This window comes from Homo sapiens, chromosome 20 (assembly GCF_000001405.40).
Source record: "Homo sapiens chromosome 20, GRCh38.p14 Primary Assembly".
NCBI lineage: Eukaryota > Metazoa > Chordata > Mammalia > Primates > Hominidae > Homo > Homo sapiens.
Genome location: NC_000020.11, coordinates 50,247,899 through 50,265,996, shown reverse-complemented (window position 1 = coordinate 50,265,996; position 18,098 = coordinate 50,247,899). Strand labels below are relative to the sequence as shown.

General features: G+C 50.4%; 1 long non-coding RNA gene across 1 annotated transcript, besides 1 other annotated feature; it reads right to left on the bottom strand.

Annotated features, from left to right (window-relative positions):
- Positions 1–1,750: 1,750 nt before the first annotated feature.
- Positions 1,751–13,323, bottom strand: LOC105372656 (uncharacterized). Its single transcript, XR_936835.3, has 3 exons — positions 12,390–13,323; positions 7,531–7,639; positions 1,751–1,795 (listed from the first exon to the last, which is right to left on the bottom strand). It is a non-coding gene; the product is annotated as an uncharacterized LOC105372656 (long non-coding RNA).
- Positions 3,579–3,779: a silencer, noted in NCBI's record as "peak4248 fragment used in MPRA reporter construct". NCBI's record gives its function as "represses an SCP1 promoter by STARR-seq MPRAs in K562 erythroleukemia cells {active_cell/tissue: K562}" and the evidence as "EXISTENCE:reporter gene assay evidence [ECO:0000049][PMID:32103011]".
- Positions 13,324–18,098: the final 4,775 nt, after the last annotated feature.

Here is an 18,098-nt window from a genome sequence, read left to right as displayed (position 1 = left end):
CACTGTTCACCAGCACCTGCCCCCTCAGCTGCTCTGTGCTGGACTCTTTCTGGGCTCTGGGGACACAGTCTTCAGGGGAGTCCCAATCAGAGGGTCTGGGTGGAGGTGAGAAGCTGGTGTGTGGATGAGGCAGTTTCTCACACTGTGGCAAGGTCTGTGATGGAGGAAGTCCAGGTGACTTTGGGAGCTAGAGGTCAGGATGGGCTTCCTGGAGGAAGTGGTTAGGAATGAAAATAACATCTATTCAGCATTATTATTATGATGTGTCAGGCACTGTTCTCTCCTCAACACCCCGCTCCAGAAGGTTTTCTTCTCACACACCCATTCTACAGGTGAGTCTGGGATCAAAGAGGCCCAGTAGGGTGTCAGAGGTCACGTAGCCAAGACATGGCAGAGCTGAGATGAAACCCCGCAGTGGGACACTGCCCCACTTGCCCCCCGACAGCGCTCTCCAGCCTCCAGGCCTTTGCTCCAGCTCTTCCTTCTGCCCAGACATTCCAGACCCTGCACCGTCTCATATCCACTCTGCTGGAGGAATGAAGAGAACAGCCCTTGGAGGCCGCAAAGTGTCCTCAAGCCTCAGTTTTCCCATCTATGAAATGGGGATAGCATGGGGCTTTCCTCTCGGGCTGCAGAAAGGATCGAGAAAAGGCTTATTATTCACCTAGGGCCTAGCCCTTGGGAACCAGTCCGGAAGGACAGCTGTTATTATTGCTAATGCTGTTCCTATCACAGTGACAGCGTGTCCCGTTAGGCCTGCAAACCCCTATACCTCAGTTTTTCCTGTAATGAAACCTGCCTGCTGAGGCCTCGGTGAGGGCTCATTTAATGATAATCTTTAGGGAAAAAAAATACACCCCCCAAGCCGCCTGTGTGGCTGCAGCCCACAGGGGTAACCTGACGCCCCTCGCCTGACCTGGCCCCCAGGTCTTTGTGTGAGTCCTGCCCAGATTACTGTATTTGTCCAAACCCAAAGCCAAGGCTGGCATGAGCTCAATGCTCTGCATTGTGCCAGAGCCAGGCCCCCCAGGCCTCATCCCTCCTCCCGCTGGGGATCCGGCCCCCAGGAGGTGTCACAGGGGAAATCGGAAACCCAGCAGGGCCCACTGGGGTGGCCTCCTGGGTGCCAGGCCCTAGGCTTACGCTCCTTGCGTGTTGCCTCATCAATCCTTCATGACCTCACTGTGCAGAAAGGCACATGCTGTGCCCATTTTCCAGATGGAGAGAATGAGGCCCGGGTAGCCAAATTGTTGCTACAGTTCATGCCGGTGGAAGTGGCAGAGCTCAGGTCAGGCTGAAGGAGGACCTGTCCCCAGAAGAGGAACCTGGGAACCCTGGATCTTCAGCTGGAGCCAGGCATCTTGGGGAGCAGAGATGAAGGAAAGCCGAACCATGTGGCAGGGGGCACCATGGCTAAGGATTCCGCCCTGAGTTCAAGTCCAGCTCTGCCACACGCCCTGCACAGAAACCTACTCCTCTCTGAACTTTGCTTTCCTGAACGAAAAAAATGGGGGAGCAGCTGAGCACGGCAGCTCACGCCTGTAATCCCAGCACTTTGGGAGGCCGAGGTGGGAAGATCACTTGAGGTCAGGAGTTTGAGACCAGCCTGACCAACATGGTGAAACGCTGTCTCTGCTAAAAAGACAAAATTAGCCAGGCGTGGTGGTGGGCACCTGTAATCGTAGCTACTCAGGAGGCTGAGGCAGGAGAATCACTTGAACCTGGGAGGCGGAGGTTGCAGCGAACCCAGATCGCGACACTGCACTCCAGCATGGGCAACAGAGCGGGACTCCATCTAAAAAATAAGTAAATAAATAAAAAGTAACAATAACAATAAATAAATAAGGGAACAATAGCTTTTCCTCAGGGGCTGGGAGAGGACTCAGGCCATAAGGTAGGTGAAACACTTAGCAGGTAGTAAGTGCTCAATCTACAGGAGCTTAAAAACCCAACCGCATCCTCCATGGGGAAGAATCTGTCTCCTGCCTGCGGGTCTGAGATTCCAAAACACTGAGGAAATTTGGCTCCAATGGGACCTGGTATTTGGGGAGGGAGTTAAAAAGGAGGGGTGGGGAGCAGTTTTTGGAGATCACTCTCTCCTAGGAGTTCCCTCCCCTCTTCCCAACTTCAGTTTCTCCATCTGACCAGGCTCCTGCCCAGCCCCTCCTAGAGAGACTAGTTTCGGGGCTGATTTTGTTGTTTGCTGTTTTTTTCACATCTGCACATACAATCACTCAGTCTAGTGTGTCTCACATGCCCGCATGGAGCCACTGTGTGTGCACTGTTGTGGTTTTTCATTTTTACTTTTCTGCAAAAGCCTTCTTTTTTTCCCTTGGTGACCATTGAGAATGGATTCTTACCTATTTTTCTGTAAGAATGAAAATCCCATACAGACTGTCTGCCCGGACAAAGGGTTTCTTTATCTGTCATTCCTTTTACAAATCAGAATCACATTGGGCATCCTTTTCTGCATCTTGTATTTTTCACTCAAGAATACCCACACAAGGCCAGGAGCGGTGGCCCATACCTGTAATCCCAGCATTTTGGGAGGCTGAGGTGGGCGGATCACTTGTGGCCAGAAGCTTGAGACCAGCCTGGCCAACATGGTGAAACCCAGTCCTCTACCAAAAATACAAAAATTAGCTGGGCATGGTGTCGCACGTCTGTAATCCCAGCTATTCAGGAGGCTGAGGCACAGGAATCGCTTGAACCCGGGAGGCAGAGGTTGCAGTGAGCCGAGATCATGCCACTGCACTCCAGCCTGGGTGACAGAGCGAGACAGTCTCTCAAAAAAAAAAAAAAAAAAATATATATATATATACACACACATACACACACACACACACACACACACACACGAAACAAGCCCTTGTATACCAATTACCATAGCAGCACTAGTCACAGTAGCCAAAAGGTGGAAACAACCCAACTGTCCATCAGTCGATGAATAGATATGCAAAATGTGATCTAGCCATACAACAGTATTTGATCATTTTTTAAAAATGAAGTACTGGTGGGGCGCAGTGGCTCACGCCCGTAATCCCAGTACTTTGGGAGGTCAGGGCAGGTGATCACCCGAGGTCAGGAGTTCGAGACCAGCCTGGCCAACATGGTGAAACCCCGTCTCTACTAAAAATACAAAAATTAGCTAGACGTGGTGGCACATGCCTGTAATCCCAGCTACTCGGGAGGCTGAGGCAGGAGAATCACTTGAACCCGGGAGATGGAGGTTGCAGTGAGCTGAGATCATCCCACTGCACTCCAGCCTGGGCGACAGAGTGAGACTCCATCTCAAAAAAATTAAAATTAAAAATTAAAAAAAAATGAAGTACTGATGCATGCCACAACGTGGAAGAACCTCAAAAACATTAGGCTAATTGAAAGAAGTTAGACACAAAAGGTCATATATTGTATGATACTGTTTATATGAAGTCTCCAGTATAGATAAACCCATAGAGACAGAAAGAAGACTGACGGTTGCCAGGAACTGGGGGGAGGCAGGAATGAGGAGTGACTGTTTAATGGGTACATGGTCTCCTTTGGGTGATTGAAAATGTTTTGGGGCCTAGCACAGTGACTCATGCCTGTAATCCCAGCACTTTGGGAGGCCGAGGCAGGCAGATCACTTGAGCCCAGGAGTTTGAGACCAGCCTGGGCAGCATGACAAAACCGCACCTCTACAAAAAATACAAAAAATTAGCTGGGCGTGGCAGCATGTGCATTTAGTCCCAGCTATCTAGGAGGCTGAGGTGGGAGGATCACCTGAGCCTGGGGAGGTTGAGGCTGCCCTAAGCTGAGATCACACCACTGTACTCCAGCCTGGGCAACAGAATGAGACTGGAAAATAAAAAAGAAGGGAAGGGAAGGGGAGGAGAGGAGAGATGAGGGGAGGGGAGGGGAGGGGAGGGGAGGGGAGGGGACAAAATGTTTTGGAACTAGATAGAGGTGATGGTTGTACTACATTATGAATGAACTAAATGCCACTGAATTGTTCACTTTAAAATGGCCAATGGTTCATTTAAATGGTTACTTTTATGTTATGTGAATTTTTCCTCAATTTAAAAACATACACATGTATCTTCCACCTCCTGTTTAAAACAAGGGTGGAATATTACATACACTAATTTCCCTTGAATTTTTTCATTAAAAATAAAATCTAGAGGGAAAAAAATGCTTGTGTAACAAATAATACTTAAAAGCAAACAAACGAAACAGAAGGGTCCTGGGAGGGCTGCGGGTCATACTTTTCAATGGCCGGGTAACAACACCAGGGTGTGGCCAGGCCTAAGCAGCATCACCCATCTCCCCGAAATCATGAGTGACGAGTTCTCATTTTGGCTTTTTTTCCTCTAGACACGTGTAGGCACTAGACACTTTACACACAAGAGTTTACTCAGCTCTTAAGGAGAGAAAGTGAGGCAGTGAATGAGCCAGAACTTGAACCCAAGCCCATCTGACCCCACAGCCACACAGGCCTCGCTCACTCCTTCCTTAGGACACAGTAAGGAAGAGGAGAAACAATGGCACCTGCCCGTGGGGAACTGACATTCTAGTCTGGGAGACAGACGAAAAACAAAATGAATCCATAAACTCTATGGCCTATTCCCAGAGGCTGGGGTTCTAGGGAGAAATAAAGGAGGGAAGCAGGGGAAAGATGGTGGGGAGTCTGCAATTTTAAGAAGCGCTGTCAGGGAAGGCCTCGCTAGGAAGGTGATGTCTGGGCTTGAAGGAGGTGAGGGAGTGAACAGGTGGCTTTCATCCATTTGGTGGGACAACAAGCACGAAGACCTGGGGGCAGGGAGCTGCTGGGAGCTGGGGGCTGCTGGGACATGAAGGGGAAGAGGCCAGGCCAGGCCACAGAGGGCGTGGAGGCCGGCTGAGGGGCTGGGGCTTTATTCAGAGAGTAACGGGGAGCCATGGAAGGGTTTGGAGCACGGCCGTTGGAGGTCAGATTTAGATTATGAAAAGCTCCCTCTGGCTTCCCCAGGAGAAGGTGGCAATGGAGCTGGGGTGGGGGAGGTGAGTGTGTCAACAGTGGCTCAGGCAGGTGTTGGCACAGAAGCAGAGAGAAGTTGTCTGATGCTGGGCAGCTGGGGTAGGGGGCGGAGAGAGGACTTGGCCACCTCCCCACCACCTAGTCACCCCTGAATTTAGTCCCCCTTGGAGGAGGCCAGGCCCCAACCGCCCCAAAGAAAGTGCTAAGAGGGGAAGCCAAGCTCTGCTGACTCATGGGCCTGGACCTCTCAACTTCCCTCCTGGGGAGCCTTAAGCCCAGAAGATGGGGTGGGGAGCCCTGTGGGGACTGAGAGCAAATAAATAATTATAACTGTGGTAAGGGATAGAAAGTGGTTAACAAGGTGACCTGACTTGGGGGGGTGTCATCAGGGAGGGCTTCCTGGAAGAGGGGATGTTTGAGCCCAAATCAGAAGAATAAGAAGGCCCCAGTTTAACCAGGTCAAAGATAGAAGGAAGAGCATCCCAGACAGAAGGAACAGCCCCTGCAAAGGCCCTGTGGCTGGAGGCAGCCTAATGAGTTCAAGTTTCTGAAAGGAGGCCTGGCTGGGCAGAAAGAGACCACTGTGTGCTGAGCCCAGGACAGACAGCGGCCATGCCCCAGCCAGGGAACATGCCCAGCCCAGGTCAGCACATGGTCAGCTCCTGGCAAGGCCTGCTTCTGCTGCCATGGAGGTTTTGTTGGTGAGGTTCCCCACCCATAAACTTCTCCAAGCTTCACCACGAGCCAGTGAAATAATAAATGTACTTAGCATAGAAATCAAGGAAGTACCAGAAATTGTTATTCTCTTTGGCTAGACAAGGAAATCAGAGCTCAGAGAGCAGAAAGGTTCGCAACTTTTCGAGTCATGCCACAAGTAAGAAGGTCAAGAAGAGCTTCCACGCCCAGCACCAGCCCCTCACAGGACTGGCCATGGGCTAGCCTTTGTGACAATTGGATAGGGCCCCTGGGTGGGGCAGATGGAGGACAGAGAGGCAGAAAAACGCTCCACAGCAGAAGCTGGCTGGGTGCCCATGGAGGCAGGGACAGAAGATGACAGCAAGGAGGAGAGACACACGGATGACCGAGACAGAGAAACGAGAGATACAGAGAGGGACAGTGGGGAGAAAGGAAGAGAAAAAACAGTGGAAAGAGAGAGAGGAAAGGAGAAGGGGAGAGGATGGGAGGAGACAGGAGAGGAAGAAAGGAGGAGGGGGGCAGGGAAGGAAGCTGTGGGGAGAGGAGAGGAGAGAAGAGGCAGAGAAAAGAGAGAGACAGAAACAGAGACAGACAACACACAGAGAAACAATGAGAAGGAGGTAAACAAGACAGAGACAGAAAGAGACAGTGACAGAGAGAGAAAAAGACAGAGACAGATTCAAAAAGAGAGACACACACACAGCCGACCAGGATGGGGCAGATGGGCCCGCAGCCTTCCAGACTCACCCAGCCTCACTGCCTCCCAGTCTCCAATTCTTCAAGCCTGGGATTCTAAGAACTTTGCAACGTTTTCAAGGTCTGATTTTAAAACGCTGAGGCTCCCTCATTCAGCAAGCACTAATTGAATGCCTACTGCATATTGTGCACCAATACTGTTCCAGGCAGCCAACACTGTTCCAGGCACTGGGGCACCACAGTGCACCCAGATCCAGCCAACCTTTCTAGGGCTGACACCTCAGAACACTGCCCATGGACACGTGATAAAGGGCTTGGAGGCTGGCATCAAGAAGCCCCACTCCTGGGGTTGGAGGGGGTTAGGGAGTACAGGGCAGGCTGCCCAGCTGACCCCAAGAGGAGGGGCAGAGGTCCCTGGGGTGGGAGGGGTGCAGTAGGGTCCAAAAGCTAGAGTAGGAGCCTGTCACGTAGCAGGGAGGCCAGTGTGGCTGGGCAAGGGGGCAGAGGGCAAGGCGGTGAGTGGGAGAGGTGAGCTCAGAGAGGAGATAGGAGCCAACACGCAGGGCCTCGCAGGACCTCACAGGGCCTCTGAGTGGGGTGGGATCCCTGGGAGGGCTCTGAGCAGGGGTGGGACAGGGTCTGAGTTGGTTCTGGCAGGGTCCTCTGGCTGCGTGTGAGGAACAGGCAGGGTGGCCCAGGGCAGAAGCAGGGGCCCCAGGCAGGAGGTGACTGCAATGGCGCAGGCAGGATGATGGGGCTAGACCAGGCAGCATCCAGGAAGGTGGGGGGACAGGAAGGAGCCTGAAGCTCTGGGGACAAGTGAGAAGACTTCAGATGGGCCTAGGGCCCTATTTCTAGGACTCCCATTCTCAAGAGTTCTATGAACCTCTTTTCTGACACAATGAGCCACATCCCACCCTGGCCTCGCTATCGTAAGCTTCAGCAAGCTCAGCTCAGCAAGTTCTCAGTGGCCCCGAAACAAGGCTCCCCACGCTTGGATGCTTCTTTCCACCAAAGGGGCAGAAGATAGAAAAGAGGAGATGAGGGGAGCGAAGGGGAAGAGGCAACAGCACCCTTCTTTGGCAAGACACACACACAGACACAGACACACACACACAGACACACACATCTTACGCACTCACCTTCCAGAAACCCTCAGAATGATGGGGCAGAGGAAAGGCCCTCCCGAGTGAGAAAGGGCCCAGGAGCCCATTGCCTCTTTAGGAAACGTTGGAAGTAAGTGATTCATTCCTGCCAGAAATGAGAAGAAATGGTAAGAATAGCCATCGCCACTCCTGTGTGCCAATGGCATGCCCACCGCTTCCCAGATATTATTTCTATTTTTATGAATTGTCCTTGTGTATCTGATAACAAAATTAAGAGACTCATTGTTTTAAAAAAAATGAGAGAGAGAGAGAAAGCAGAGGAGGGGGAAGAGAATGACAGGGAGGAGAGGAATTCTAACATCACGGAAATACGTAACTCACACCCCTCCACTCACGCTCTGCCCCCAAACACTCCAGGCCCGCACCCGCCTCAGGGCCTTTGCACTGGTTCCCTCTTCGTGGAATGTTCTTATCCTGGAGCCAGCCACACGGCCCCCTCCCTGCTCATAGAGAGGCCTTCCTGACCAAGCAGCTGCCCCCGCCACATCTGTGATTTTTCTTCCCAGCACTTAGTGCTACCTCACATTATAATTGGTTTATGGTCTGTCTGCCACCAGTAGAACATCAGCCCCAGGACAGCAGAGATTTTTGTCTGTTTCGTTCAGTGCTGTTTCCTTGATGTTCCGAACAATTCCTGGCACACAGTCGGTATTCAGTGAGCATTTGAATGAATGAGTGAATGAATGCATGTGTGGATGAAATGGCTCTCTGCTCAGGCAGACCAGGAAGAGGGGTTTTCCGAGGGGAACAACTGGATCCTCCATGTGCCCGGAACACAGTAGGCATTTGTAGAATGGCAGATGGATGGACGAACAGACAGACTGAGTGGGGAAGGATAGGACCATGAGGAAATGAGAGATACCAAAGCAAGAAAACAAAAAGGAAAACAAGAAAACGAAATATCATTAATCCAGGCTTCTGAATGCCTGGCCCGTGCTAAGCCCGCTCCACCTATTAGTTCATTTCTTCTTCCCAACAACCCCATGAAGGAGGTTTTGTTTTAAGCCCTGGTTCCAAATGGGGAAATTGAGGCTGCACAAGAAGCATTTTTTGCCATGTCCCATGGCCAGGAAGGGCAAATCGGGCCTGCGTGCCTCTGAAGCCAGTGCTCCAAGAAGGCTGTGGCTGGTGCACCCAGGCTGTGTGCCAGGCGCAGGGCTGGGCTCACCAGAAGGAACGAGGGCCAGGGGATGCCAGGCTTTCCACATTTGTAAGAGAGGGTGTGTGTTCACATTTTTAGGTGAAATCTCTTGCTTTTCAATGCTGGGAGTCAAATTAAAAGTTTAGAAAACATGATACAGGCCTAAAAAGTACATCTGAGGGCTGCTAGTGTGAGACGTTTGGTCCAGGATTGATATTTATTTCGGGGAACAAGGATATTATTGAGAGTGGGGTAGACAGAGAAGGCTTCCTGGAGGAGGTGGAAGAGGCTGGGCCTTGGGTTTGAGAGGAGGGGACCTTATGTGAGAAGAAGCAGGAGGGGCCTTTGGTTGGGTCACCCAGAGGCCACTCTTGGGGTCAGGGTAGGCCTCCTTCAAGAAGCCCGGGCAGAAGAAGCACAGCAGGTCAGACCAGATTCACACTGGGAACACCTAGGGGGCAGAGCACCAAGGCCGTTCTCGCACCCCCCACTTCCTCCCCTTACACATCCTGTCCCTCCCTCATTGACCCTCCGGGGATCTGAGCTGCCTGGGACATTTTCCCCAGAAGACCCTGCTTCCTTGTGAATTTCCCATGGGGGCTAGCTGGAGGGAGGGACTGACGGTGAGTCAACATGGCAGCTGGACGGACTGGGAACAGCCTAAGAGCTCTTTCATCCACTGGCCATTAGCAACAACACAGCCTCAGGCAGAAAACTTTGAGAATTAAAACACAAATTTATTGGCTCCCAGGGAAATCAGAACATCGAAGCGAAATACTGTGATTATAATACTACGTCAACCAGTCAACCATAAGGTGACCTTTTTCTCTTAGCTGTATATGAATTCTATTTAATGTGAAATATAGATACATTTTAATGTTTGACACGACTGAACCTGGGTTTGAATTCTACTTCACCACTTATTAGAAGAGAAACTTTGGGCAAGATATATAGCTTATCTGTGTCTGCATTTCCTCATCTGTAAAATGGGGATGAACAGAGAACCAGTGTCTAGAGCTGTCATGCAGTCCAAAGGAGATCATGTGTGGTGAGCACTTAGAAAGTACTTGTCAGATAATAAGTGTTCAGGTAGTAATAAATAAGGTTATGAATTTAGTGTTGCACCACTATTTCAAATCATATTATAGGATAGGCATAGTGGCTCACACTTGTAATCCCAGGACTTTGGGAGGCCAAGGCAGAAAGATCACTTGAGGCGAGGAGTTAGAGACCAGCCTGGGCAACATAGTGAGACTCCATCACTACAAAAATATTTTAAAATCAGCCAGATGTGGTAGTGCTTGCCTGTAGTACTAGCTATTCAGGAGGCTGAGGTGGGAGGATTGCTTGAGCCTAGGAGTTGGAGGCTGCGGTGAGCTGTGATCATGCCACTGCACTCCAGCCTGAGTAAGAAAGCAAGACCCTATATTTAAAAAAAAATTAATTGATTAAATTCATCACATATAATGGATTCTGGAGACATCAATATAAACTCATGTTTAGCTAAACATGAATATAACTAGTTACACATGGAAATATTGATAACTGTGTGTTTATACACAGGTTAGTATACACACAGATATTTCTTTGCTCCATCAGCTGAAAAGGGCTAAAAGAAATGATACCCCAGCAGCCATGAGCACACCCGGCACCCAGATCTTGGTTTCTTATACCGTTCTCTAATAAAAAGAACCAGGACTCTTTAGAGAAATGGCTGATTCTAAGACTGCAGCAGGAAATATATAAGTTGAATGTGGAACAACTTGTAGTGCCAGAAAATATGAAAGGACTTCAAGAAAACTACACTGATAGGGGTCTGTGGAAGGGGGCAGGAGCCAGTTGAAAGAGCTCCCAATGGCCAAAGTTAGCAGAATTTGAGCAAGAAAATAAATAAAGCAACCTTGGATTATAACCCAAAGTATAAATAAAGTAAATATCCGTGAGTCTGTACTGATATAAATAAAATATTGAATAAATGGATAGGAATGAAGAGGCAAATCTCTCATGCAGAAAAATTCCAAATAATTTACATAGATGCTCCAGTGGAAAGGAGGGGAGATAACTCCTCACACCTCAGGCGCAGGCTGCACACAGCAGCGTCTTGCCAAAGAGTACAGTGTGGAAAAAGGAAAAAATAGCAACTTGATGGTGGAGAAACTTCACAAATACTACTCAGGCTAGGTGATCAATGTCAACAGCAACAGTTGGAAGTCACATTAACAGTAAGTACACTTGATACGCTGTGATAAAATGACATTTTACCTCTGAGATCTTCTTCCCCCAAACCTATAACCCTAATGTGGTCATACAAAAAAAAAACAAATTCCAATAGAGGGATATCCTACAAAATACCTGACCAGAACTCCTCAAAACCGTCAAGGTCATCAAAAACAAGGGAAGTCTGAGAAATTGTTATGACAAGAGAAGCCTAAAGGGACATGACAATTAAATGTCACGTGATACCCTAGATGGACTCCGGGGACAGAAGAAGGACATTAGGGAAAGATTAAGGCAGTCGGAATAAGCTATGGGACTCTAGCTCACGACAATGTATCAACGCTGGTGCATTAATTATAACATAAAGGTGGAGCGCAGTGGCTCATGCCTGTCATCCCAGTACTTGGGATCCCTTGAAGCCAGGAGTTTGAGACCAGCCTGGACAACATAGCAAGACCCTGTCTTTACAAAAAAAAATACAAAAGTCAGCTGAGCATGGCAGCCCATGCCTATAGTTTCAGCTACTTGGGAGGCTAAAATGGGAAGATTACTCGAGCCCAGGAGCTCAAGGCTACGGTGCGCTATGATTGTGCCACTCCAACCTCAGCAACAGAGGAAGACCCTGCCTCAAAAGACTTAAAATTTAAAAATGGTAACAAACCTACCAAATTAATGTGACACATGAATAATAGGAGAAACTGGTCATAAGGTACAATCTTTTCAGTTATTCTGTACATTTAAAACTTCTCTTAAAAATAAAGTCTATCGGCCGAGCACGGTGGCTCATGCCTGTAATCCCAACACTTTGGGAGGCTGAGGCGGGTGGATCACTTGACGTCAGGAGTTCGAGACCAGCCTGGTCAAAATGGTGAAACCCCATCTCTACTTATAATACAAAAATTAGCCGGGCGCGGTGGCTTGTGCCTGTAATCCCAGCTACTTGGGAGGCTGAGGCAGGAGAACCACTTGAACCTGGGAGGCAGAGGTTGCAGTGAGTTGAGATCACGCCACTGCACTCCAGCCTGGATGACAGAGCTAGACTCCATCCCAAAAGAAAAAATAAATAAATAAACTCTATTTTGGTTGGGGGCAGTGGCTCACGCCTGTAATCCCAACAGTTTGGGAGGCTGAGGCAGGTAGATCACCTGAGATCAGGAGTTTGAGACCAGTCTGGCCAACATGGCAAAACCCCGTCTCTACTAAAAACACAAAAATTAGCCAGGCATGGTGGCACTGCGCCTGTAGTCCTACCTACTCGAGAGGCTGAGGCAGGAGAATTGCTTGAACCCAGGAGGCGGAGGTTACAGTGAGCTAAGATCACACCACCGTACTCCAGCCTGGGAAACAGAGAGAGACTCTGTCTCAAAAAAATAAAAATAAATAAATAAATAAACAATCTATCTTAACAACTGGATTTTTTTTCCAGTGAGTATGTTTTTCCCACACTCTCATAATTCACAGAATGACTTTTTCACACCTGGTTGGAACATCTTCCACATTTGGTCTGTCATTCCGCCAGTCATTCTGTGGGTCCTGATCTCAGGTTTCCAGACCACGATGGTTTCATTGCTGAGTTGATGGGACATGGTCCTTTGTGAAACCCGTTCTGTGGTGGAATTGTGTCTTGACCCAATGAGCCCGTTCTGCTCACACCGGAGTTGTCGTTTGGCTAATTCATCCTGTAGACACCTATTGTTTACGTCAACATCCAGCAATGGCCATTGTAGGGTTAAAGCGTCAGGCTTCATTATTCAATGTGGGTTACATTCCTTTCTTCCCTTCATCTTTTCCAGTTCTGTCACCTCAAGCGGCATCCCTGGGCCCTGGTCTCCAAGTCCCGATCCTGTCTGAAAAATGGCCTGAAGGCCTAGCACAGGGCAGCCTCTACCTCAAAGCACCATCCGGCTTAACATCCCAGCGGTGCCTCAGATGAGAAGCCCTGTGGTGGGGTCCACCAGAAACCCCTGGCCTCCATGTCTCCTTCCTGGCCCCAAGGACAGCTGACACTGTCCAGGAGGAAAGGGCAAAGGGGAAGCACGTGGCAAGACACTCATTTCTCAGAAAGTCTGGGTTAGGAGTCAGGGGACCTGGGTTCAAGTCCCGCATCTGCCTCTGACTCACAGTGTCACCTTTGGCCACTCACTTCCCCTCGTCTGGACCTCAGTTTCCTCATCTGGGAGTCAGTGGGGTGGACCAGCTGATCTCCCAAGCCTTCCCCAATTGGCATTGCACTGTTGAAATCCGGGCTGGTGATATCATGCCCCCTCCCCAGCTCACCTCACTCTCACAACCAGCACTGAAGTCAGAGACCGTGACTGCCTTTGCAACTAACAAACTCGCATTTGTGTGTAACGCTCTGAATTTACATTCAACAAATGGCAAAGGCCTGTTACCTTTGTATTTCTTTCTAAAATGAACGTCATAGCCTGGCCAGTGGTTCACATCTGTCATCCCAGCACTTGAGGCTAAAGTGGGAGTATTGCTTGAGTCCAGGAGTTCGAGACCAGCCTGGGTAATGTAGTGAGACCCCATCTCTACAAGAAATAAACAAAACTAGCCACAGAGAAGTTGTGTGTGCAGGTGCTTTTCTTTAAGTTTCCTGATCCAAAGTGCCCAAGTTCTGGGCTGGAAGTGAATCACAGTGAGTTTGCATTTTGTGTCTCGTAGTCATTCATAACTTTGGTCTTTGTTCATAATAATTACCCTTGGAATGAAATTCAAATTCCTCACTCCTGCCTTCGAAGCCCCGCAGGGTCCACTCCCTCCCCTTCTCTCCAGCCCTCTCCCTTTCACTCTCCCTATTCCAGCCACGGTGGCCTCCCTACTGTTCTTTGACCCACCTAGCTTGTTCCCACCTCAGGGCCCTTACCTTTACCACTCATCCACCCCCAGCACCCTTCTCTTAGGTCATGCCTGCTTCTTGGAGGCCCTCCCTGGCTGTCCTGCTGGTCACCCCGCATCCCAGCTCTCTGCTTCATTTCCTTTACCACAATCTCAAATGATGCTGTTTACTCATTCAATGCCCATCTCTCCCACTAGACTGTCAGCTCTGGGAAGGCGGGGATTCTGTCCGCTTTGTTCTGTGATGTGATCCCAACACTCCCCTCAGGGCCTGACACATAGTAGGGTCTCAATAAATACAGGTTAAATCAATGATGGGGCCAAGCACACTGGCTCATGCCTGTAATCCCAGCACTTTGGGAGGCCAAGGAGGGTGGATCGCTTGAGCCCAGGAGTTCGCTTGAGCCCAGGAGTATTTTTCGTCGAGAAGGGATTTTGTATGCGAAAAATTAGCCAGGTGTGTTGGCACACGCCTGTAATCCCAGCTACTCGGGAGGCTAAGTGTGGGAGGATTGCTTGAGCCTGGGAGGTCGAGGCTGCAACGAGCCGTGATCACGCCACTACACTCCAGCCTGGATGACAGAGCAAGACCCGGTCTCAAATACATAAATAACAAAATGAGTGGATGAATGAATGAAACTGTGACCGTAGTCTGCAGCTAGACAGCTGGCATTTGTTGAGCACCTACTGTGTGCCAGCCACTATGCTGTTGTTTTGTCCCTGCGGCAGGTGGGTTGATGCTCTTCATTTTGCACATGAGAAGACCGAGGCTCCCAGGCCTCAGAGCCCCAGAGCGTGGAGCTGGCCTTGAATCCAGCCTGGGGACGCTGGTGTTGGGCTCCTTCCACCCTACGAAGTCCCCCAGCAAGAGAGTCACGGGGAGGGGAGCTGAGCGGAGCCTGCCCCTCATGCACACAGGCACCCCTTGTCTAAGGCAGAACTTTCTAGACACCTCTCTGTCCCAACGCCTGGTGGAGCCCCTGTGGCCAGCATGGGAGCTGAGTACCCAGGCAGCCTGGCCTTATGCCAGTCAGTGCCAGGAACCAGCCTGGGGAGCAGAGTCCGGGCCAGCCCAGTGGTGAGTGACACAGGCCATTTGCCCCAAGGGGGCTCCCAATGTCCACTGCGGCATGGGGAAGACCACCGCACTGAACCCTCTCCTCAAACCTCCAGGGCAGGTCCCCGGGCCCCATGCAGAAAAGGGGCCAGGATGGCTAAACCAGGCTCGAGCCTACCCAGGCTTCAATCTATGCCCCCATTTCCTAGATCTGAACACTGAGGCCCAGGGAAGTGCGGTATCTCAGCAAGACTAAGAAGTAGAGTGGGATTTAAACCAGGAAGGCACTCACGGTTGTTTATGCACACGTGTGCACATGGGCGTGTGTGGGCGGCTGTGTTCCCAGTGCCATCTGCACCAATGGTGTGTCCTCATTGGCTCACATCAGCCTCATGTACACAGCAAGCGTGTCCATGTGCACATGCCTCCCGCCTCTGTGCCTGTGCTTGTGAACCCACAAGATTCCTGGACCCTGACCCCACCCCCACTGTGTCAGGCTTGACTCAGCTGAGACTCAGTTTCCCCATCTGCTCAGTGGCCCCAGAGGTTATTGTCTGCTGGGGATAGGGATCTGGGCCCCTGCATCCCTCTCAGCCCTGGGCAGAGCAGCCTAAGAGAGCCAGGGAAGGCACCATGCCAGTTTGGGCCAGGGAAGAAGGGGGACAGAGGGCGGGAGCCAGCACAGGGTCTGTCTGGGAGCCTAGGGGCTCAGGCCCGTGTCCACCTTCCCCTTGGGGTAGAGCTAGCCCCCAGGGCCCTGGCCTAGTCCTTCATGTCTCATGCTCTCAGCCTGGTGAAGGGAAAATCATCCCATGTAGGCCAGACCCAGGGCTGGGCGATGCTGGTACACAGAACTGACTCCAGCACCCAGGACCTGCCCTCGAGAGGTGCCCAGGGTAGGCAGGCAGGTGAGCAGGTAAACCAGTCACCAAAAGACAGCCTGTAGTCCTGAGTGTGGATTTTCCTTTGAACACTTGTTAGCTGTGCATCCTTGGGCAAGTCTCTTAACCTCTCTGAGCCTCTATCTCCTCCCCAGGAGAAAACTATGCTCCCCACTCGGGGTTGGGTGAGATCCCAGCACAGAGCCTGGCACAGGTGGTGCCGCTGAGTCACATGGAGGCTTCCCTTATTTAAGGTCTGCTCTGGGAACCAGGAGGATAGAAAAGACCAGGGGGAGGACAGATTCCCTCTGGGGCTGGGGAAGCCCCCAGTTCACCTCCCACCTCCAGAGGAGGTGCCGCCCAGCCAGACCTGGACCAGTGAAGGCAAGGTTGGCATAGAGAAGCCGGAAGCAGGAGGGCAGTCCAGGCAGAGGGCACAGCCCAGGCAAATGACAGTCATGTCTCTCAAATCCAGGGTTCTCCTCGTACTTCAGGTCTCAGCAAAAGGCCACCTTTTCAGAAGAGCCTCACCTGTTCGCTCAATCTTGGGGACCCCATACCCCCACCTTCCATCAAAGCAGCAGGCTTATTTTCCGCTTTGAACTTATAAACAATCATGCTTGTTTATTATCTGTCTCCTCTGCCAAGTTCCCCCAGGGTGTGGACAAAGTCTGTCCTGTTCACTGCTCTGTCTAGCACAGCACCTGGTACACAGTAGAGGCTTAATAACACAGTGAGCACCGTTTAAGCAAGTTACTCCACCTCTCACTGCCTCAGTTTCCTTATCTGTAAAACGTGCATCATAACAGCACCTACCTCATCCAGTTGTAAGAATTCAATGAGTTACTATTCATAATGCCCTTAGAAATGTCATAAGAATTAAACGAGTTAACATTTGTAAAGCCTTAGAACAGTTTCTCCTTGTGACCACGTAGGTACTCTGCAAAAGTGTATAAATAAAATATACAATGAGTGAATGAAGAGAATAACAGATGCATAGATTTGGAAAGTCATAATATTATAGATTACCAAGTTGCATAATTTGTAATGTCCTGGTTGGTATTCACATTTCATTTTCTTTTGCTTTTTTTTTTCTTCCCATAGAAACGAGGTCTCAATATATTGCTCAGGCTGGTCTCAATCTCCTGGGCTCACGCGATCCTACCGCCTCAGCCTCCTAAAGTGCTGGAATTACAGGCGTGAGCCACCATGCCTGACCCACATTTCCTTTTCTTTATTACTATTTCCTGGCTTTTTATTTTGACAATTTTTAAGCCCATAGACAGTCAAATGATTAGTACAATGATTGCCTCAATTTACCAGTTGTTAATTCTTCAGTCTGCGGGCCTTCCCTCTAGCTAGGTTAAATGAGAAAGATGCATATTTCTACTTTTGGGGGGGCTTTTCTTGCCTGATCCATGTGGGAGCAAGTTGAAGACACCAAGGTAATTTACTCCTGAACTCATCAGCTGCTGTGATTTTTTTTTAAATCTCTATCTCAATGGATATATGAATTCTCTGGAACCAATTGCAACCAGGTCCGTGATCTTATAAATCGATAATTCTACAGATCTACTAGTCCCTGAATCCTTGAACCTGAAAATATTTGGTTCTAGAAACCGTCATCTGCTGGTTCTCAGAGTCTGCACATGGCTGAGGTTCTGTCTTTCTGTGGTCTGGGACTCCCGGTACTCTCCCCCGAGTCTGCGGCTCTCTCGGTCCAGTCCTGATGATCCTCCCATTGGTGCCTCTGAGCACTGACTCCTACTTCCCAGAAGCTATTGCCTGGGACGAAGAAAGGGGAAAACCCAGCCAGTCCCAAGTCCAGTGCAATGCCAGCTTCGTGGATGCCAAGTGGCACAGGGGCCTGGGTCACAGGCCCAAGGATGGGACCCTGGCCGGGCCGCTCCCTGGGTGCCCAGACCCATCTCAGGCCAGCTGGGTGAGGGGCAGATGGGTGGCCCCCGCCTCCACCCTGTCCGTGGAGCAATCGTCTGAGTCACCCCCACCTCATGACTTGCCTGCCCGCCACCACTAAGGCCTGTAATTACAGCTGCCTCCTCCTCCGAGGCTAGGTCTTATCAGCCCATCAGGGCAGGCCAAGGAGGGGGACGCCCTGGAGGTACCCCACAGATGCGGCTGGTCCTGGGGCTTGATGGCATGCGATCTGGGCATGCCTCGGCCCTGCTAACCCCAAGCCCAGAGGCTGGCTCTAGACTCCCAGAACTCCCACTGTCCATTCCCCAAAACCCTGCCTCAAGTTCCACCATTCAACTCATTTTCCTGTTGAAGCGTAAACTGATCACTCACAAGACATTTCAGAGCAGATTTTCCAAAGCCCCGGGGAGGGGAGAAGCTCTGCGTTAGGCACACAGGGAGCTCAAGGAAGACTCAGCAAAGCGCCACT